The 19,364-nt window shown below is 34.9% G+C and overlaps 1 protein-coding gene across 9 annotated transcripts in view; it reads right to left on the minus strand.

The window, feature by feature from the left end:
* Positions 1-2,128: 2,128 nt before the first annotated feature.
* ARAP2 (ArfGAP with RhoGAP domain, ankyrin repeat and PH domain 2) overlaps positions 2,129-19,364 on the minus strand; it is a 239,381-nt gene continuing 222,145 nt past the window's right edge. For 4 of the 9 annotated variants that reach the window (XR_007096351.1, XR_007096352.1, XR_001741112.3 and 1 more), the window contains 4 exons: positions 15,869-16,011; positions 12,111-12,357; positions 9,288-9,556; positions 2,129-3,771 (listed from right to left, as the gene is read on the minus strand). The gene's annotated coding sequence lies outside the window, so the exon portion shown is untranslated. Of the gene's footprint in view, positions 3,772-9,287; positions 9,557-12,110; positions 12,358-12,624; positions 12,684-15,868; positions 16,012-19,364 lie in introns of all 9 variants that reach the window. The other 5 variants (XR_007096353.1, XR_007096350.1, NR_146893.2 and 2 more) reach the window with 3 other exon arrangements.

Consider the following 19,364-nt stretch of genomic DNA (forward strand, 5'->3'; position numbering starts at 1 on the left):
GCTGAAGTGGGCGGATCAACGGAGGTCAGGAGTTTGAGACCAGCCTGGCCAACAAGTGAAACACTGTCTCTACTAAAACTACAAAAAATTAGCCAGGTAAGGTAGTGGGCACCTGTAATCCCAGCTACTTGGGACGCAGAGGCGGGAGAATCGCTTGAACCTGGGGGGCGGTGAGCCTAGATTGCACCAGTGCACTCCAGCCTGGGCGACAGAGTGAGACTCCGTCTCAAAAAAAAAAAAAAAAAAAAAAGAAAAAGTATCCAAAGATCTTCCAAATGTTCCAAATGTTCTCAAACGTTATGTCAAGACACTGAAATACTTCACTAAATGCCTCCTATGGGGATTGAAAAATAGGCTGTTTGCAATGGGCATTTTCTTTCTAATGTTTGTTTACTCTGGTATACTTAAGTCTAGGCTTCTTAAATGTTTTTCTTGGAATGAGTTTTCACACCAAGTTGATTTTTATTGAAAGTGTTGTGCTCAGCAAAACACTAATGAAATCCATAGCATATTAATATTAAACAGAATTAGAGTTTTGTGATTTTGTGCTATTGTAAACACTAACAATAAAGGCTATTGAAGAAAAAATAAGATTATGGTTAACAGAAGAGTATGTACTTCAAAGAATTAGGAATTATATTTATTCATTAAACACACATTTAGTGAGCACCAACAATCCTGGGCAATGAATGACATAGACAAGGTCTCTTCTATGAGAAAGCATGTTGTGTGCTTTGGATTTTGAGTAGGTAAAGTAACAGAATACATAATCCTTGAATTCACATGTTATCTTCTACTCACTGTTAGATATTTCAATCAGGAAAAAAATGAAAAAAAATTAGCAAAGCAAATAACTTCAATAGATTGTTTTATTGTTGTCATTAAATATTTAATAATTAATCTAAAATGGTGAAAAACTTCCAGAAGAAGCATAGTGGATGAGAAATGTCAGATAATATTTTAGACTCACAGCTAAGCTGGTAAATAAATAAAAAGAAGGTGCAGAAATCTTGTTAGATTGGCATAGTGCACAACCGCCTGACTTCTGAGAGAGGGAGAAAGCAATGTCATTCATCTTGCATAATATTCCCTCTCTGGTAAGATTAGTTGATAACACAAGAGAATTTTCCCTAGCTTTACCTGACAAAAACTTGATACATCTTCTAGCAAGAGCAATTTTTCTACCATATTCAGCAATAGTAGTTTCTGAAGGGCTCTCTTATCTCATTTCTTATTCATCAATCTCCAAAAGACATGTTAGAAATAGCAAAATGTAAATCTCTTTATAACAAAATTAATCCAATTTTTTTACTTGTCTTTCATGTGACACTGACTCATTGTCAGCTGAACATATGTAACAAATGCTTGTCATTTCTGAGTACTCAAAGAGCACGATCTAAAAGAAAGATAATTTCTTTTGACAAATGTATGTCAACACAAGGAACTACCTTTTTTGCTTATGATTCACTTGTCATGTCATCTTTTAAAATTAATACTTATCCACAGTTTATGGAGGAAGACTATGATAGTCACTTTATATAATTATGGTTCTGAGGAAGCATATTTCCTTGAGTTTCTCAGTTTAGCATTTTGTCAAAATGGATAAGAAAAGACACATAACTCTATACTCTCATATTTTTTCTTAAAATATTCCTATTAACATACAAATTATATTTCATGTGATATTAACCCTAAATTTGGCACAGTGAAATTTAATTGAAGAGAAACACTTGATAAAAAATCAATTTCCCTAATAAATTATGTTTGATTTACCTTATCCTTGTATATTATTGCCATTTGACATTTATAATTTTATTTCTAAGAAATGTATAGAAAAATCTTTAGCTGTACAGCAACAATTTGTATGTTCTGAAGAAATAAAATTTTGTGAAAAGAAAATCCAAATATCATTAAGTTTTCTTCCTTTATTGTATTTCCAAGCAGTTTAAAATGTTTTGTATGAATAATTCTTAGAATCCAAACTAACATGTAATCAAAAAGTGTATTTCACTGGTTGTATGATAAAGCCTATAAAATTGAATTGCATTGTTTCCCAATATACCTTAAACTTCGTCTCAACAACAGAACATTTATATTTTAATTATTACTTTTTTATTAGTTACATACCATGGTACTTTATAAAATTATGAAGAGGCTTATAATTTTCACTATAAGTGACATAGTTATTAAATACTAAGTCACATTGTTCCAAAAGCAAATTCAGGTGGCTTTATAAGAAATGTACAATACACCTAAATAGAATAAATTGAGTAAGGTAAGAAAAGTAAGCAAATACAAGATAAAACATGAAAATCCACCCACAAATGAGGCTAGTCAAAATTTTATATTATACAATTCTATACATTTGCCATAAACTGACCACAATTTTGCCTCTAAGCTGTTTAACAGAAAACTCAGGGAAGAAAATCTAGTAAATCATGTCTTTCACATAGCCCTTAAGACAAACACCAAATACAGTAAAGTGACAGTATTTCTAATATTAGTATCAGAAAAAAAGTTGTGTCCTAAGGGTTCTCAAAAAGAAGATGCTGTGTAATGGAGTGAATATCTTCAAAGGTTTAGGATCTCTTTTTTCTTAAAAAGTCTCTCAGGGTAGACCAGTGGCATTACAAGCAAGTGCAATTTCTACAAAAGTTCCTGTAGAGAAACCATTTGATGCAACTAGCTTCTCGGCAACACTTCCTTCCAATTGTTGATTCTCTTTGATAATCTTTCAAGAAATAGAGTGTGCCAGGGAGTTTGTTTCCATATTGAATTATGGGCTCTTAAAATGTAGCTCTATGTTAGCATTTAAAGGCAAAGCCTTAACTGACAGATGAGAAGGGAGAAGGGTTAGGGGATCCAAGGACCACAACATGGACATGTTCTGAAGAGAGGACTATTCCAGCTCCTCTGAGAGAGGTCAGATGAATAGCTTATACAGGGGTAGGGCTACCTGAAAAATAATTTTGAACCTACTGTAGCAGAAAAACGGACAGCTAAGGAAGAAGTTTTCACTGTCTTGATTTTTAAGAAATAGTGTCTTAGACGTTTGGTGAGTTCTTATTGTATTATACATTATCGCTGTCATAAACACTTGAGGAGCACTGACTCATGAGTTGATAGCATTCTTATGCAATTACGCAGATAGGAAATGAGGTTAAGACATTAGCCTAAGATCGTGTGGTTAGTGTGTAGTAGAACTAATAATTGAAGCAAGGATTCCTGGCCCCAAAGTCCACACTCTTCATTGCTATCAGTAAATCACAGGGTGTTACAATAGACTGTTCTTTGTGACAATTTGAGTATATTATGGCATTGATTTAACTTTTAAAAGAGACTTCCAAGATTATTTGCCTTTGCAACAGAAAATAAAATAAAATTTGGAATTATTTTTATATATTAAAAAAATCTGCTCTATATGAGAGTAGGCTATCTTTAAATTTAAAAAAATATTGTTGGCATTCGTGCTAAGCAAACAACTATTTTGCAAATTCAAGAGGAAGTGACCTTTTATATAACATATACAAGCAAAGTATATTAACTGATGGGTTACATATATATGTATAAAATTTTCATTAAAATTGAAAAAGATAACAAATAAAATTTTTAAAAGAGAGAAAGTACCCAGGTGAGGTGGTGTGAGCCTGTAGTCCCAGCTACTTGGGAGGCTGAGGTGGATGAGTAGCTTGAGTCTAAGAATTCAAGGCTGCAGTGAACTGTGATCAGGCCATTGCACCTCAGCCTGGGTGACAGAAGGAGTCCTTCTCTCTAAAGAAGGAAAAAAAGAGAGAGAGTTACATAAAACTAAAATTAGCACTATAGCTGTATCAATTTGAATAAAATATCTAAACATGATGGAACCATGTCAAAGTAAAATGTATTTAGCTTGATACTTGTAAAGGGTTGAATTGTGGCCCCCGAAATATATTCTAGATTCCACCTAGAACCTGTGAATATGACTTTATTTGGGAAGAGTCTTTGTAGATGCAATTAAGTAAAGTAACTTGAAATTATACTAAATTATCCAGGTGGGCCTTTAATCAAAACACAAGTTTCCTTAAAAACAAAGAAGACATCCATTGATAAGAAGGATGAGAAAAACAAATGAAACAGAGACGACAGAGAGAGAAGGAAGAAGAAAGTTCATGTAAAATGGAGGCAGAGATTGAAGCTATGTCATCTCAAGCCAAAAATTGTTTGAAGCTACCAGAAATTGGAAGAGGCAAGCAAAGATATTTCCTATATTCTTTGGAGAAAGCAAAGACTTGCTGAACCTTTAATTAGGACTTCTTACCCCGCGAAGTATGAGAGAATCAGTTTCAGCACTTTTTAAGCCATCAAATTTGAAGATGTTTGTTACAGGAGCCCTAGGCTAATTCAGTGGCTATCTACATAGATATTTCAATACGCCCATAAATGGGTAATTTCAACTGACATTGAATCTCAATGATATTAAATGTTATTAATCATAAATATACTATGCTTTCATTTCTTTTTTGTTTTGTTTTGTTTTTCAGAGACAGTCTTGCTCTGTCAGCCAGGTTAGAGTAAAGTGGCAGATCAAAGTTCCTGGATGCAAAATCAGTGTACAAAAATCAGTAGCAGTTCTATATTCCAATAACTTTCAAGTTGAGAGCCAAATCAAGAAGGCAATCTCTTTCATAATTGCCACAGAGAGAATGAAATGCCTAGAAATACAGATAACCAAAGAGGTAAAGGATCTCTACATGCAGAATTACAAAACACTGAAGAAAGTAATAAAAGACAACACAAATAAATTGAAAAATGACCCAAGCTTATGGGTTGGAAGAATCAACATCACTAAAATACCCGTACTGCCCAAAACAATTTACAGATTTAATGCTATTTCTATCAAATTACTAATGTCATTTTTTCACAAATTAGAAAAAATCTATTCTAAAATTTGTATGGAATCAAAAAGAGCCCAAATAGCCAAAGTAATCCTAAGCAAAAAATAAATCTGGAGGCATCACATTACCTGACTTCAGCCTATACTATATGGTTACACTAATCAAAACAGCATGGTACTAGTACAAAAACACACATATAGACCAAAAGAAAAGAATAGAGAACCCAGAAATACAGCCACATACCTATAACCATCTGATTTTCAACAAACTTGACAAAAATAAGCAATGGGGAAATGACTTCTTATTCAGTAAATGCTCCTGGGATAGCTAGCATGTCTATATGCAGAAGTATTACACTGGATTCCTACATACCACCATACACAAAAAATTAACCTAAGATAGATTAAAGACTTAAATGTAAAACCTCAAACTATAAAAATCCTAGAAGAAACCCTAGGAAGCACCCTTCTCAGTATCAGCCTCGGCAGAAAATTTATGGACAAATCCTCAAACAAAAATTTATACAACAAAAACAAAAATTGGCTAATGACAGGATGTAATTAAAGAGTTTCTGCATAGCAAGAGAAACTATCAATGGAATAAACAGATAACCTAAAGAATGAGAGAAAATATTTGCAAACTATGCACCCAACAAAGGTCTATTATCCAGAATCTATAAGAAACTTTAACAAATCAACAAGTAAAATACAAATAACCTTATTCAAAATTGGGCAAAGGACAAGAGCAGACACTTCTCAAAAGAAAACATACATACAACCAACAAGCATATGAAAAAATATTAATTGTCATTAATCATCAGAGAAATACAAATCAATACCACAGTGAGATACCATCTCAAACCAACAAGAATGGCTTTTGTTAAAAAGTCAAGAAATAACATATGTTGGTGAGGCTCTGGAAAAAAAGAAACACATACACTGCTGCTGAGAATGTAAACTAGTTCAGTCACTGTGGAGAGCAGTTTGGAGATTTCTCCAAGCCCTATGAATTGAACTACCATTTGACTCAGCAATCTCATTACTGAGTATATACTCAAAGGAAAATAAATTGTTCTACCAAAAAGAACAATATGTTCATCACAGCATTATTCACAATAACAAATACATAGAATCTACCCAGGTGTCCATGAACAGTAGATTGTATTTTTAAAATGTGGTACATATGCACCATGGAATACTATGCAGCGATAAAAAAGAATGATTTCATGTCTTTTGCACCAACATATAGGCAAACTAACACAGAAACAGATAACCAAATCATGCTTGTTATTACATGTGGGAGATAAACATTGGGTATACATGGTCTGGTCATAAAAATTGGGACAACAGACACTGGGCAATACAAGAGGGGGGATAAAGGGAGAGGGTAAGGATTGGATACTATGTTCACTACCTGGGTGACAGATTCACTCCAAACCTCAACATCACACAATATACCTTTGTATCAGATCTGCATATTTATCCCCTGATTATAAAATAAAAGTTGACAAAAAGGAAGTTACAGAGTCCATTAAGTCTATTTAAAGCATCAAAACTTTCTAAAGGAATATCTTAACAGTTGGTACCTTCTCATTTCACTGAGAACATCAATGCAGTTCTGATAGAAGCCAGGGGATGAAAAAGGAACTCTTCCCAGATGGAGAAGGCAATTCTATATAGGAAAGTCCCTCTCTCTTGTTGAAGTAAAATTCAGAAGCTCCTTGTTTTTTTTGGCGGGGGGTAGGGGGGTGGAATCATCAGTGGAAAATTTCTAAATGTTCAAGGTTATTTCATACTAAATTTCTCTTTTTCCTTGAGATTTGTTTTTCCCTTCTGTTAATTTTTTTGTTGCTAACATCACATAGGTCCTCAGTTGTATACTGTACTCAAAAGTTCTTTTCATCCTTTGATTCAAAGGCAAACAGTAATTTCCTCCTTTGGTGAAAGGCACAGCTGAAATCAGGGAGTATTTTCAGAGAAAACATTATAAATAAATAAATATAATTATATGTTGTCATGTGTTAAATATTATATGTTATATAACATGCTATATATTGTATTTTATATATTGTATATGATATATAACTGATATAGGTGAGCATTTTTAGAAAAAATATAAATAAATATACATCACATATTACATATATATACTATTTGAAATCATTGAAAAGAAATAAAGAAAGGCTAGAAAGAAATGAGCTTGCTAATTCTATACAACGGTCTAGTCCTACTATGAATTAGCATGCTTTCCAGAGTCACCCTGACCAACCCCCTATGACCAGTAAGGAGCCATCTACTGCCTATTTGTACATTTTATGGATGTGTCAAGTGCCTCATTTCCCAGTCCAAGTTTTACCTCCATATGTGAAATGACACTGATTCACATACAAGCACCAGCCTCTTAGGCACTGGATACATTTGTGCTTATCAAAGACAACAATTCTCTCACCCAGTTGCCATCCTGCTGCTCCCTCATCAGATTCATGAGGGACCTAAGTCTTTTTTCAAACCAAATGACCTAATGAATCCTCTTGCCTTTCCCACAAATTCAACCCCTTACATAGATTAATGGCCTTCCCCCTCGCCTCTAAGAATAATCATTAATCCTCTTCCCCAAACATTTCCAGCTCTCTGACTTGCGGGATATATGGTAAGATAGCATTTCCTGGCCGGCTTTTGTGGGCGGAGCAGTTTGACTAGTTCTGCCAAATGAATTGTGTTATATATCTTGGTGCCTTGTGTCAAACATGTTTTACAAAATATTGCCCAAGTATTTTATCAAACTTTTGTATAATTCATAATGAACTAAAGGTCAGACAAATACAGACATTTCCTTATAAGACTTGAAGAACATTTAATGGTAGTTGAGGTTTTAAGGTCAATTGTGTCTTGTGTCTTTTGTTTTGTGTCTGATCAAAAGTGTCTTGATCCAGCAATGTCCAAGAAAGAGTGGCTCAAAGTGAAGACTGCTCAGAAAAGAACCCCTACCAAACCTACGATGGACTTGTCTTGTGAGTGAGAAATAACCCTACTCTTTTATTCTACTGAGATTTTTAGTTTTGTTACTGAAGCATCATTTCGCTCATCTACTGTAAAACCTCAACCACCATTACACGTTTTTCAAGTCTTATAAGGGAACGTCTGTATTTGTCTGACCTTTAATTCATGATGAATTATACAAATGTTTGATAAAACACTTAGGACAATATTTTGTAAAATATGTTTCATAAAATAAAGTAGAGTTTTAAAAATAAAATTGCATGTAGATTTAAATTCTGATTAGTATATTAAGGCCCTGTAAATTCTACAGTAGACAAAGTCTGCCTGAAAGTCTAGCTCACATCTTCAGTTTCCCAGCCTTATTTTATCACCAAACTCTTTTTCCAGAGAATCTTAGAAACACCCACAGAGCACACTGATGGTTTAGAGATAGTGACTGTGATGACTAGTCACTTCTGGCAGGAAGGGAATGCAATGGCTTGAGAAGAACACATAACACCTACAAATGCACCCTCATTCTCCTCCTTATATTGATAATTCTACATATAGGCATTTATATTATCATTATTCTTTAAATCATACATATAATTACATGCCCCTTTTGAATATGAAGTATATATCACAGTTTTAAAAGGTTGTAAACACAGCATATTAGTGGAATTAGGGAAAGTGAAACACAAGAGAGCTATATTGCTGTCTTCACAGGGAAAAAGATATGGATATCAGCTTTAGAATAGTTCCTTATCAAGTTAATGGGGGTGAAAATACTTTCAAAATTATTAATGATAATAATGCATTATTATTTCACAATTTAAAGCAGGGATGTGTTAGATTTATCAATTATTCTAAAATATCTAAAGCATTGTGGAATGATCATAAAGGAAATGGCCTCAACATTTCTTTCATGGTATGTCATTATTAAATAATTTCCAATGAACTATTAATTTGAAACTTTTAGAATGTGTAAATTAAAATGTCTACGATTCTTCATAATATGTCAGTTGTGATTTCTAGGCTCTTTAGAAAATGTTATGGTTTTCATTTGGAAACTCTCTACATGTAAAATTTTGCTTCAGCAAAAAGTGTTAGTCTCATGACTTTAAAACATTTTATTCTTGTCAGGTGCAACTTGGACCTTAGGTCAATAAATTACACTTGCTTTGGTAGAAAACATGCCATTTCTTCCTTGATTAACATGTTTTCTTAAAGACTCCAACCAGCCACCTGTCTTCTTTGATATCTTTATAATACTGATTATTTTTCAACTTTACTTAGTGTTGAATGTGCTTTTGCTTTATCAATATGTATGTAAGTGGGTCTGTATAGTTCAATGTAAAAGTGACAGACATATTTTCTGCATAGCTTGTCCTGCACATTTGTATAACTTTATAAAATCTACAGCAAAATCACTTACAATCCACATCAAGTTTCTCATCCATCCATGTTCTTCAAAATGTAAAGCTCCTAAGAGATCAGAAGAACTCCTTTAAAGGGCGGTGTAGCCTCTTAACTGTATTCATTTACATTTCCAAAGGGCATACTTCTTCATGCTGTACATCTGGTTCCCTCCGAGTAGAAAGGAGATTCCAGGGTTACAGAGCAGAGTGCACACCAGCTAATTCATGTTACTGATGGTCAGAAATCCTGTGGGGATGTGTTTCTCATTCTGACCTCGGCTCTTTCCTGTGGAAGACATACATTTTTCAAGAACTCATGGTATCAAGCTCTGTAAAATCATCATGAGAAGGTGGCATTGTCTTGCCTGCTTTACCAAACTTTATGTAGGTAACATGCATTAAAATATATACAAATAAAATTATAGTCTAAAGTTTTGTAAATATAATGCCTTTTGAAGCAACAAAATATAGACTGTTCTTGTAAAGACTTAACAAAGGTAGAGTATGTTACATATTGAATATATTTGTAGCCTAATGAAGTTTTATTATCCATGAAGTTTATTCTTGTTGCATTATCAACATTAGGTTTTAAGGAAGACAAAACATTCTCCTTTAAAAAGTGTGGCCCTTGTCTATGACCAGTGAAAAAAGGTAGGAAGACCAGAAAAAGACCAAGGAACTTATCAAAATTTAGAATTTTATACGGTGGCTTCTATAGCTCTGTGTACATGACTGCCGTTTAACTAAATGACGTAATACCCTTTCTGGAATAAGCTCACAAAAGAATAGGAGGATAATAAATAGTTGCTGCTAGTATAAATGTCTCTCCCTAGAAGAATCTACTAAAAAGGGTGAGGAATTAGTTGAGTGATGATGTGGTTTCAACATTTTTACCATGCCTAAATGACACTTGAAATAACAGAGTAGAAAGGAAGAGACCATGAGCATGGAAAGAAAAGAGAGAATTATGGATACAGGGTGTTTGGGCACGTGAGATTTTACATTACAGGAAAGAAAGTAGCGTATATGGATTTAGATCAAGATAGGTTAGTATATTTGCTGATGGGAGCAAGTGGAATTTAAGGAAACTATGACAGATCATAGCAGGAAATGACCTCATATGAAGGAGAGTTAACATACATTAGAGAATAATAACCTACCCAGAGATTTAATATAATACAATTATTTTAAGGCAATAATTGGTGGACAACACCAATTCTGATAACAGGTAATTATAGGAAAAACATATATATGACAGAATCCACACTGAATCATCAAAGACAGAGACTCTTAATGAGTGAAAGAGACAGCAGTTACATCAAAAACATTAAATAAATAAGTTAGAACATATTTCTCATCAAGAACAGTAGGAACTCAACCTGTTGAATAAAATTAAGTAGCAACTGGCTGAGCACGGTGGCTCACGCCTGTAATCCTTTGGGAGGCTGAGGCAGGCAGATCGCTTGAGCCCAGGAGTTCAAAGCCAGCCTGGGCAACATGGTGAAACCCCATCTCCACCAAAACTACAAAAAATGAGCTGAGCATGGTGGTGAGTGCCTGTAGTGCCAGCTACTTGGGGGACTGAGGTGGAAGGATCTTGAGCCGAGGGAGGTTGAAGCTGCAGTGAGCTGACATTGTACAACTACACTCAAGCCTAGGTGACAAAGTGAGACCCTATCGAAAGAAAGAAAGAAAGAAAGAAAGAAAGAAAGAAAGAAAGAAAGAAAGAAAGAAAGAAAGAAAGAAAGAAAGAAGAGAAGGAAGGAAAGAAAGAAAGAGAGAAAGAAAGAAAGAAAGAAAGAAAGAAAGAAAGAAAGAAAGAAAGAAAGAAAGAAAGAAAATGTAAGTAGCAACCACTGCCACCACTTCTTCTAGTCAATATTTTATTCATAGTGCCACAAAACAAGGAAAAGAAATTGGGGTAATGAAAAGAAGAGCCACAGTTGTCCTTAATTACAATTTACATCACTATCTGTATAAAATTCATACAATTCTATAAATTATTAAAGCAAATAAACAAATTCAGCAAATTGCTATTATAATACCAAAATCAGAAATTCAATAGCTTTTCTATACGTCAGCAAGAACCAGGTAACAAATGTTATTTAAATAAAATACCTAATTCTCTATCTGTTATACACTGAATGTTTGTGTTTCCCCATAATTCATATGTTGAAGTCCTAAGCCCCAACTTCCCAAAGTGATGATACTTGGAGGCAGAGCCCTTAGGAATAATTAAGTTTACATCAGGTCATGTGCATGGGGCCCCATGATGGAATTAGTATCTTTGTAAGAAGAGGAAGAGAGACTCATCTCTCTCCCTGTGTGAAAGATTTCTTTGAAATAAAAAGGTTTTCCTATTATAACATATAGGCCATAGTGCACTAGGAAAATTGCTCTGTTTCATGCCACTCCAGGCTTTTAATGTATGCAGATGTGGTATGTGCACCTGTTAAAGTTTTGAGTATGAAAAAAGTGTTAGGGGAAACACAGAGATGTTAACATAAAGACATGATGTTACTGAGTCACAAATCAATGTTTAAAACAGCTTACTTCCAGATTTCTTGTTATGTAAGAGAAGTTATTCCCTCTTATTTAAGAAACTATTATTTGGATACTATATTTATTTCATTCTATTGATTTATATCTGAAATCATTCCTCTGATATAAAAGATATTCAAAATGCTTACATAAATGATGAATAACCTGTTCATAGGTAGTAAGATCCTGAACAGTATAGCAAAGTTAAATGTCTAACAACATCAAGTTTATTGAGTAATTTTATGTTGCATAACAAGCATCCCTAAACTCAGTGCTTTAAACAACTATCACTTGCTCACAGTACTGAGGATGAGCAATTTGGGCTATGCGCAGATAAGAAGTTCTGTTCTTCTTTGGGATCATTCAGGCAGTTGTGTTTATCTGATGGTTTGACTGGGGCTCAGTGATCCAAGGTGACCTTATTCAGATGTCTGGCAGTTGGCTGTGACATCCATTTTCTTCTTCACAAGTTATATCTTTCTCCAGCAAGGTAGGCTGGGATTCTTCACATATGGTATATGGGTTCCAAATAGGAGAAGACAAAATCTGCAAGGTAATTCATGGAATAGGCTATGGAACTCACAGAATGTGATTTCCACCACATTCTACTGGTCAAAGTTTGTTATTAGCAAAGCAAGCCAAATTCAATAGATGGAAAATAGATTCTACCTCTTGAAGTGAGAAGCTACAATATGCTCTGGCCATGTTTTCAATCTCTATCCAAGTAATGGCAAGAATATGTGAAAATATTTAGAGATTATTGATAGTGTTGTAAAATGTTTGATAAATCCCAAGAAGCGTTTGGCAATATACCTCAGGAATAAATATGCACATATCCTCCAAACCAGCAATTCCGCTTCCATGGAAGAACTCTAAAAAAACATTGCATATGTGTAAAGGAAAGCAAGTTTAAGGAGAAAATCACAGCATTGTCTGTAAATGGAAAAACGAGAAATCAATTTAAAGTCTGCCAAGTAGATACACACATTAGAGTACATGCATAAGCCAAAAACTATATAGTAGTTAGTTGAAATGAATGAACTGCAGGCATATGTCCATAAGTATTAATTTTGGAAATTAAAATCTCTAATGAACAAACAAGTTACAAAAGAATATGTATAGTATAATAGGACTTATTTAAACTTAAAAAGCCATATAATACTATATATTATTATGGGTGTATATGTACATTTGAATATGAAAAAATATACTGGGAAAAATGCACATAAGCTTCAGGATAATGTTTACCTCTGTGAATAGAAGAGTATGAAAGCAGTAGAGATTTCCACTGTGTTTAACGTGTTGCTTCTTAATATATATCTAAAGCATTTTGCACAAATGTTATTATTCATAAAATCTATTTGATATGTACATTGATGTCTGTTATATTATCCTTTATAGCTCTTGCGTGCTTGAAATCTTTCAGAGTTAAGAGAATTTTAAGTGAAATATAATCCAGATTGTGTTTGCATAGAATATCTTCAGAAATTTATAAAACTAATTAGTACCAATGGGTATCTTTGAGGAAGGGAATCAGAGAGTTAAAGGGTACATCAGGTAAAAAAGACTTTGCACTTTATACTTTTTGATACTCTTTTAATTTTTATACCATGATCATGCGTTACGTTAAAAATATATTATTTCTCCATAATGAACATGCCTCGCTTGAAAACGTGAGATAAATCACACAACCTCTTGGCCATTCTTCAATTTGAATGACTTGGATGCTCCTCATTGTATATTCTTTGAGAGACCTCTGTCTGTCACCCTTATTCAATGAAAAACTTTCAGGTGGAGCCTCATTCCATTTATGGTACACTTTTTTTGACCTTCCTGGGGCTGCTAGAAATTTTCTATTCTCGTAAGTCTGACAAGGCCACATTCATTCTGCCCTTTCACTCTCATTGTCATTTAAAGGTCAGATTGTGTCAAATCCGTGCTCATTTGTTTTACCATATGCTATTTGAAATTGCACAAGCCTGAAAATCCTGAAGCCCAGCACATAAAGAGACAGTTGAAAACTTAAATATATATATATACACATAATTTTCATGAAACTCATATTCAAATATATATATATTCAATTTGATGTCAAGATAAAAATGAAAAATGGATATTTATTTCTTATTAAATAATTAATGTTAACACATTTTAAATGAGATAGACTCATTCACTTATGTATTTAATAAATGTAGAGAGCCTCCTGTATGCCAATCACTTTTCTTGGCATTAAGGAGACAGCACTGAACAAAAAACTAAGTTCTTTCCTTCATGCATCTTACATACTGTGGGGAAGAGACAGAAAACAATTAAACCATTCTGTATGTCAGGTCATGATGAGAAACAGAGAAAAACACACCAGGATAAGGAGAATAAGAGAGAAAGGGAGATGGGAGGAGTTACTCTTTTACAAAAAATGGTGATCAGAGACTGTGCACTTTATGCACCAACATTTAAGCAAAGACCTAAGAAAGTGGTAAAAAAAAAAAAAAAAAAAAAAAGCTTTCTGTGGAATCTTCCAGGCAGAAGAAACAGAATGTGCAATGGTCTTGGGGAGAAATGTGTTTCCTATACCCCTGGGACAGTAAATCTCATGACTGCAGTGTAGTGAGAGAAGGAAGAATGTAGCAAGATGTCAGAGAGTGGTAAGGGTTCATACCAAAACCTTGCGAGACACTTTGTAGAGACCTTTGTGTGTATACTTTGGCTATTATGCTGAGGGGATTTCTGAGCAGTGAAACAGAGTGACAAGAAGAAAGGGTGGAAGCAGGAAGACTGGTGAAGAGGCAAGAGATGACAGTGACTGGAAATAATAAGATATTTGGGGGTAGAGGAAGAAATAATAACAAAAATCATGTATGATTATTTGAATTCTTCTATTATAGTATCTATGATAAAGTCCATTTTGATTGTACATAAATTGTGTTGAATGTATTTACTGTACTTTTATGACATATGAAATGTATACAATTTCAAGTTTATAATAAAATTATTTAGTTTTTCACTGTGTGACTTAAAGTATACAAAGTTTAAAATGTTTTAAGTCTAAATTATTGTGGCCATGAAGTGTGTCATGTCAGGGCCTTCACCACTTATTTGTCCCTATGTTAGAGAAGACCCAAAAGTTATTGGGGAGCACCATGACTGAGGTCATGAGTTTCAAGAGTTGGAATGGTCTACGCTGAATTGGGTGTTCGTTAGGGTTCTCAATATTCTATGAGAAATTGTCAACCCAACCCACTTGCTCCGATATTTGGTATTTGTTACAAAGCACCTGGCTCTGCACTTGACCAACAGCAATGTAGAACTGTTGCAACCACCATACTTCACAGAATATGAGAGACAACTCACTCAATATCTCAAAAAAAAAAAAAAAAACTCAGCTGAAATGTAAAATGTATGTTTATTAGAACTGCCTAAAAATCATGAAGTTAATACATACCTCCAGAACTACATTATAAATGAGAGCACCACCACATAATGATCTGATCTGAGGTATTTAGCAAATAAATTGTGTGAACACTTATATTCATGCAAATATGAGTAAGACTGATTATTTTCTCCCATCGTCAACTTTTCCCACCTTCCATCTAAATAGAACATTAGCTGAGCATATACTTCCTAAAATAAAGGCCATATTTATCAATCTCCTGTGCAGCTAAATGTGGCTAAGTGACTAAGTCCTGGTCATTCACATATAAACAGAAGTGAGATGAGCAACTTTTAGCATGTACTCTGGAAAATAATTGGTAGGATTTCTGTTTTTCTCTTTCCACCTTCCTGTTGTCTTGAAGGTAGATAGGGTTGAATCTTTTTGAACAATGTGGATGAGGTCAACATCCTAGGGAGGGCCAAGCTAAAGAAAAATGGCATATAGGCAGAGGAGAGCAGCTTGGAATTTGGGGTAAGAGAAATAAATTCTGTCTTTTAGGAAACCATTTGGCGATTTCTGATAACAGCTGTTGAATTTATGTCCTAACTAATATAGAAAGATTTAATATACTTTGCATATATATTTAAAATACATCTTTTAAAAATTGTCATAAAAGAAAGTTACCTTTATCATAATACTGTTCACTTGTTTTCATCTTTAATTATGCTTGGTTCAGTAGTAGAATAAGTAGTGAAGTTACAAGGAAGACCACAATCACTCAAGGGATGCTGTTCCTGCACAGCGGCATTTTGCTGATGTATCATATACTGTTAATGGTTGGATATCACACATTATTATTCCGTTGAAATAAACCCTTTTAATGTATTAAGGCTCAGTTTTTTCAATGTACTAGGAGCTCAAAGTTACATGGCAAACAAAGCAGGCATAGTTCAAATCTCACAGAGCTTTTGGTTTAACAAAGACAATAGAAAACTTACAAACAATTTTAGGAATTGTGATACTCGCGATGATGGAAGATTGACCTGGAACAATATCGGATACAATTCTCCTCATCTTATACTGTAGATGTGTCTTTGTGTGTATGTATATGTATATACATAAGGGTGGACCCAGGGAAAGGCTTCCTGGGTCCTGCACAACAAGAATGACGTGTAGGTGTTAGGTGAAAAGAAGAAAGAAGACAGTCAAAGGTAGATCAAAGGGCCAATACAAAAGGTATGAGATGAGATAGTATATGAAGAACTGAATTATAGAGTGTGAAGGTAGGAGTGGTGAGAAATAGGTTATAAAGAGGGAGGGAAAAGGTGTCACTGGGTGTTATAAGATATAGGAACAGGTTATAGTTTCTCCTTAAGTCCCATGACAAACTTAGTAGGAGAGAGTAGTCTCTCCTTATGCAAGAGAGCTATCTTCCAAGACCCTCAGTGGATGTCTGAAACCTCAGATAGTGCTGAACCCTATATATACTATGTTTTTTTCCCTGTAAATACATACCCATAACAGAGTTGAATTTATAGTTTAGGCATAGTAAGAGATGAATAACAATATCTATATGCCAGCATCACTATTCTTGTATTTGAAGGCCATTGCTAGGTAAAATAAGGGTGGCTTAAACACAAACACTGTTATTATAATACCACGACAATCAGACAGGGTGCGGCAGCTCATGCCTGTAAGCCCAGCAATTTGGGAGGCCAAGGCGGGCAGATCAGCTGCTGTCAGGAGTTCAAAACCAGCCTGGTCAACATGGTGAAACCCCGCCTCTATTAAAAATACAAAAATTAGCCAGGTGTGTTGGTGGATGGCTGTAATCCCAGCTACTCAGGAGGCTGAGGCAGGAGAATTGCTTGAACTCGGGAGGCAGAGGTTGCAGTAAGCTGAGATTGTGCCATTGCACTCCATCCTGGATGAAAAGAGCAAAACAAGGCCCCCGCCCCCACCTAAAAAAAGTAAATCAAGCTGATAACTGAGATGGCTACTAAGCAACTAATGGGCAGGTTAGCACATGTAGCACAGAAACACTGGGTAAGGGAATAATTCACGTTGAGAAGCAGAATGGGTGCTGGGATGGGAGGGATGGAGTGGATGGCATGAGATTTCATCACCCTACTCAGAATGATGCACAATTTAAAAGTTATGATTTGTTTATTTCTGCATCATTCCATGAAATATTTTCAGGCCATGGTTGACTGCAGAAAACTGAAACCACAGAAAGTGAAACAGTGGATAAGTCGAGACTGCTGGTTAGACTGCAGAGTGGGTGATGGAAATTGGATTTTTGAAAGTTCACCTTTGGTTGCATGCCTGGATGGAGATGATATCTAAGGCATGAAGATCAATAAGTGGCTGTGACATTCAAGTTAGATATAATGGTGACCTAGACCTTGGTAGTGCTAACAAAGTTTGGAATAGTGAATGATTCAAGAACTTTTTACAAGATGGTATATACAAAACTTAATTACTAATTAGATGGATTGCAAGAAGGAAAGGGAGAGTTTCCGATGTTTAAAAAACTGGGTGAATGTACATGTGATTCAATTAGATCAGAAAAATGAGAAGAAACAGTTAAGAAGGAAAGATGATACGTATCCTTGGAAATGATAGGTTAGAGGTACCTGTGAATTGTGCTTATGCAGCTATTCGGAAAGGAGATAAATGTACATAAAGTTATACTGGTACTGATTTCATCATCCAGGTGCATATGAGTTGCAAGCAGTCAAATAAAGTCAACAGTGTTTTTTGTTTTTCAATCAAGTGAAATAGAAGGTTCATGGCAAGAGTGTTAAGTGTACTAAAAATAAAGCATAATTTTTTAAAAAAATCATAGGATATAATATGATTTGGATCTTCGTCCCCCATTCAAATCTCATGTTCAATTGTAATCCCCTCTGTTGGAGGTGGGGCCTGGTGGGAGGTGATTGAATCACGGGAGCAGATTTCTCATGAATGGTTTGGTACCATCATCTTGGTACTGTTATCACAATAGCAAATGAGTTATCACAAGATCTGGTCATTGAAAATTGTGTGGCACCTCTGCCTCCTTCACTCCTGATTTTACCATATGACATGAAAGGTCCAATTCACCTTCTGCCATGATTGTAAGCTTCCAGAGGGCTCCCAAGAAGTGGATGCCGCTAGGCTTCCTGTATAGGCTGCAGAACCATAAGCCAATTCAACCTATTTTCTTAAAAATTGTCGAGTCTCAGGTATTTTTTAATAGCAATGCAAGAACAGCCTAATATAGGATATGTGATACATTGAACAAGAAACTAAAATTGGTGATTTCAAGTAGATAGAGAAAAATAAGAGAACCATTGGTGAGCATGCCAATGAGTTTATGAGTTGATGTCATAAATATCTAATGATACATCATCTAATGATGGAGATACACTTTGAGAAATGAGTCATTATACAGTTTTGTTGTGTGAACATCAGAGTACATTTAAACAAACCTAGATGTTGTAGATCACTACACCTAGGCTATATAGTATAGCCTATTTCTCCCAGGCCACACACCTTCACAGCATGGTACTGCACTGAATAGTGTAGGCAACAGTAGCACAACCGTAAGTGTTTGTGTATCTAAACCTACGTAAACATAGAAATGGTTCAGCAAAAATATGTAATATGGTCTCATGGGACCATCGTAGTATATGCAGTCCATCATTGACTGAAACATAATTATGTGATGCATGACTATAGTGGAGAGGTAGATTAGGAAGGAGACTAAACTGCTCTCTGCAATTGGGATTACAATTATTTTGTTAATTTAAGAGGTGGGGAAATTCCAGCTACACTTATGTTTAAGGATCACAGCCATACATGTAGGTGGCTGTTATGAAGTGGAAGAAAAGATAATTTGACATAAAGAGATTAAAAACTAAGAGATGAAGATGTTGGGTAAATCTTACCCAACATAACGGCAGGACTTGGCAGGAAAAGAAAGACTGGAAGCCAGATACTTATGCTTTCAGCGAGCGGGGAGTGAGCAGGCACTCACAGGATGGCAGCCTGGAGAGGTATTAAGGCTGATGCAAAAAAGCAATTACATTTACATGAAGGTGAAGAAGTAATCATTTAGATTAAACATAGAGGTTACAAGGCCATTGACTACACATCACAAAACAGTTTCTAGAAGAGTCTTTTCTCAAGAAAGTCA

The sequence above is a fragment of the Homo sapiens genome, chromosome 4 (assembly GCF_000001405.40).
Source record: "Homo sapiens chromosome 4, GRCh38.p14 Primary Assembly".
NCBI lineage: Eukaryota > Metazoa > Chordata > Mammalia > Primates > Hominidae > Homo > Homo sapiens.